Consider the following 1,987-nt stretch of genomic DNA (forward strand, 5'->3'; position numbering starts at 1 on the left):
TTTGAGTGCAACAGACTAAGTGAGGGCTGCCCCATGTATTAAAGAGGGATGTAAGTAGAGAGTCATAGTCAGCATCCCTAGGTCCAGGAGAAAAGCTTATAATGGAAATATGGAAGTGAGGGTGAAATTGGATGGGGCTTGGGGACACATAGCAAGGTTAATAGTAATGGTGGTCAAGAGACTAAGAATTAAGGCAAGGGCTCTTGAGCTCTGGCAGCAGACTTTAAGTCCATGAACATGGGGCATTATGGAGAAATCTTCTAGTGTATCTTGCCTAGGTAAAAGCAGCTCCTTAAGTGAGAAAATCTGGGTCAGATAATGCCAAGGAAAGGCCTCAAAAAAGACATGTTCAGCAAGAGAAGAGAGAGTAGTCTCTGCCCAGTCTGTGTGTAATGTATAGTGTTAGTTACTAGTATGCCTAGATAATAACACTATAGATCCTAGATACTAACACTATAGATCCAATGTAGGTTGGAATAGCCTTTTCCTTCAGATTTTTGAAGGCATTCAAATTTTGCTTGCCTGATGTTGTTCACTTGCCTGATGGCTCCAGGTATTGCTGCTGAGGGGTGGGATAGCAATCTGACTACTTGTCCTTTATTTGTGGCCTTTTTTCTCTTTCAGAAGCTTCAGGACCATCTCAATTTGACATGGAAGTGCTTTGCTGTAAATCTTTTATTATTCATTATACTTTCCACCTAATGGACCCTCACTCATATTTCTTAGGTATGGGGAACTTTCTTTTTTTTTTTTTTTTTTTTTGAGACAGAGTCTTGCTCTGTCACCCAGGCTGGAGTGCAATGGTGTGATCTCGGCTCACTGCAACTTCTGCCTCCTGGGTTCAAGCAATTCTGCCTCAGCCTCCCAAGTAGCTGGGATTATAGGCGTGTGCCACCATATCCAGCAAATTTTTGTATTTTTCGTAGAGACAGGGTTTTACCATGTTGGCCAGGCTGGTCTCGAACTTCTGACCTCAGGTGATCCGCCTGCCTCGGCCTCCCAGAGTGCTGGGATTACAGGCATGAGCCAGTGTGCCTGGCCTGATGGGGAATTTTCTCACATTATTTCTTTGATAATTTCTTCCATGATATCGTCTTTTCTCTCTTTCTGGGAATCCTGTTAGTCACATGCTGCATCTCCTAGACATTTTTTTTCTCCAAATTTTCATCCCTTTTCCTTTTATTCTGAGGATCTTAGTATTGCCTTCTCTATAAGGTTTTAAGTTGCCTTATAAATGCAGTTTTTCCCCCTATTGTTATCAGAAGGATGGCTATGGTCCCCCACGAGTGGAGATGGGAATTGGAAAGTTTGACTTGGAAGCATTCTGAATTTTCCCCTCACTTGTAGCTAGTCATCACCCACATGGTTCTAGTTTTCCATGTGATTTGACACAACTGAAGTTCAGTGGCTCCTTGGATTGCTGAAATGAAATGGAGGCCTTCTTTGCAACCTGAGCTCTTCTAGCTTTCTGTTTCTCTGTGTCTTAGAACAGAAGTTCATGTTTTGGGTCAGTAATGTAAGTAAGAAATTGAAGAAGTAGATGATTACAAATGAATAACCTGTTGTTAGTAGTGTACATAGGGTGGTTTTAGATCTATGTAGATCATGATGATTTGGTTGTGTGGCTTCGGCAGCCAACCACCTAAATTACTTGAATGAAGCTTCTTTCCTGAAAGGAGCTTGGATTCATCTGAATTTCAGAGTACTTTCATTTGAATATCCTGTCAGCATAATTCAAATTTTAAAATGCTTGCTTGGGTATTGTATTTTTTAAATAGAATTTTAGCATTTAACAACATAAACCAAAATAATCTTCTCCTTCCACCTCTCCACTGAACCTGTAGAGAGTCAAGGCCTTGTCTGAGTCCTGTGTTCTTGCCCTCCCTGTGGCTGCTGGTTCTAACCCAACTCCAGCCCCTTAGCAAGTGCTCTCCTCCTTTGAGCCTGTGCTGCTATTACACACCAGGCTCGCCCATTTCCTAGGGTG

This window comes from Homo sapiens, chromosome 4 (assembly GCF_000001405.40).
Source record: "Homo sapiens chromosome 4, GRCh38.p14 Primary Assembly".
Classification (NCBI taxonomy): Eukaryota; Metazoa; Chordata; class Mammalia; order Primates; family Hominidae; genus Homo; species Homo sapiens.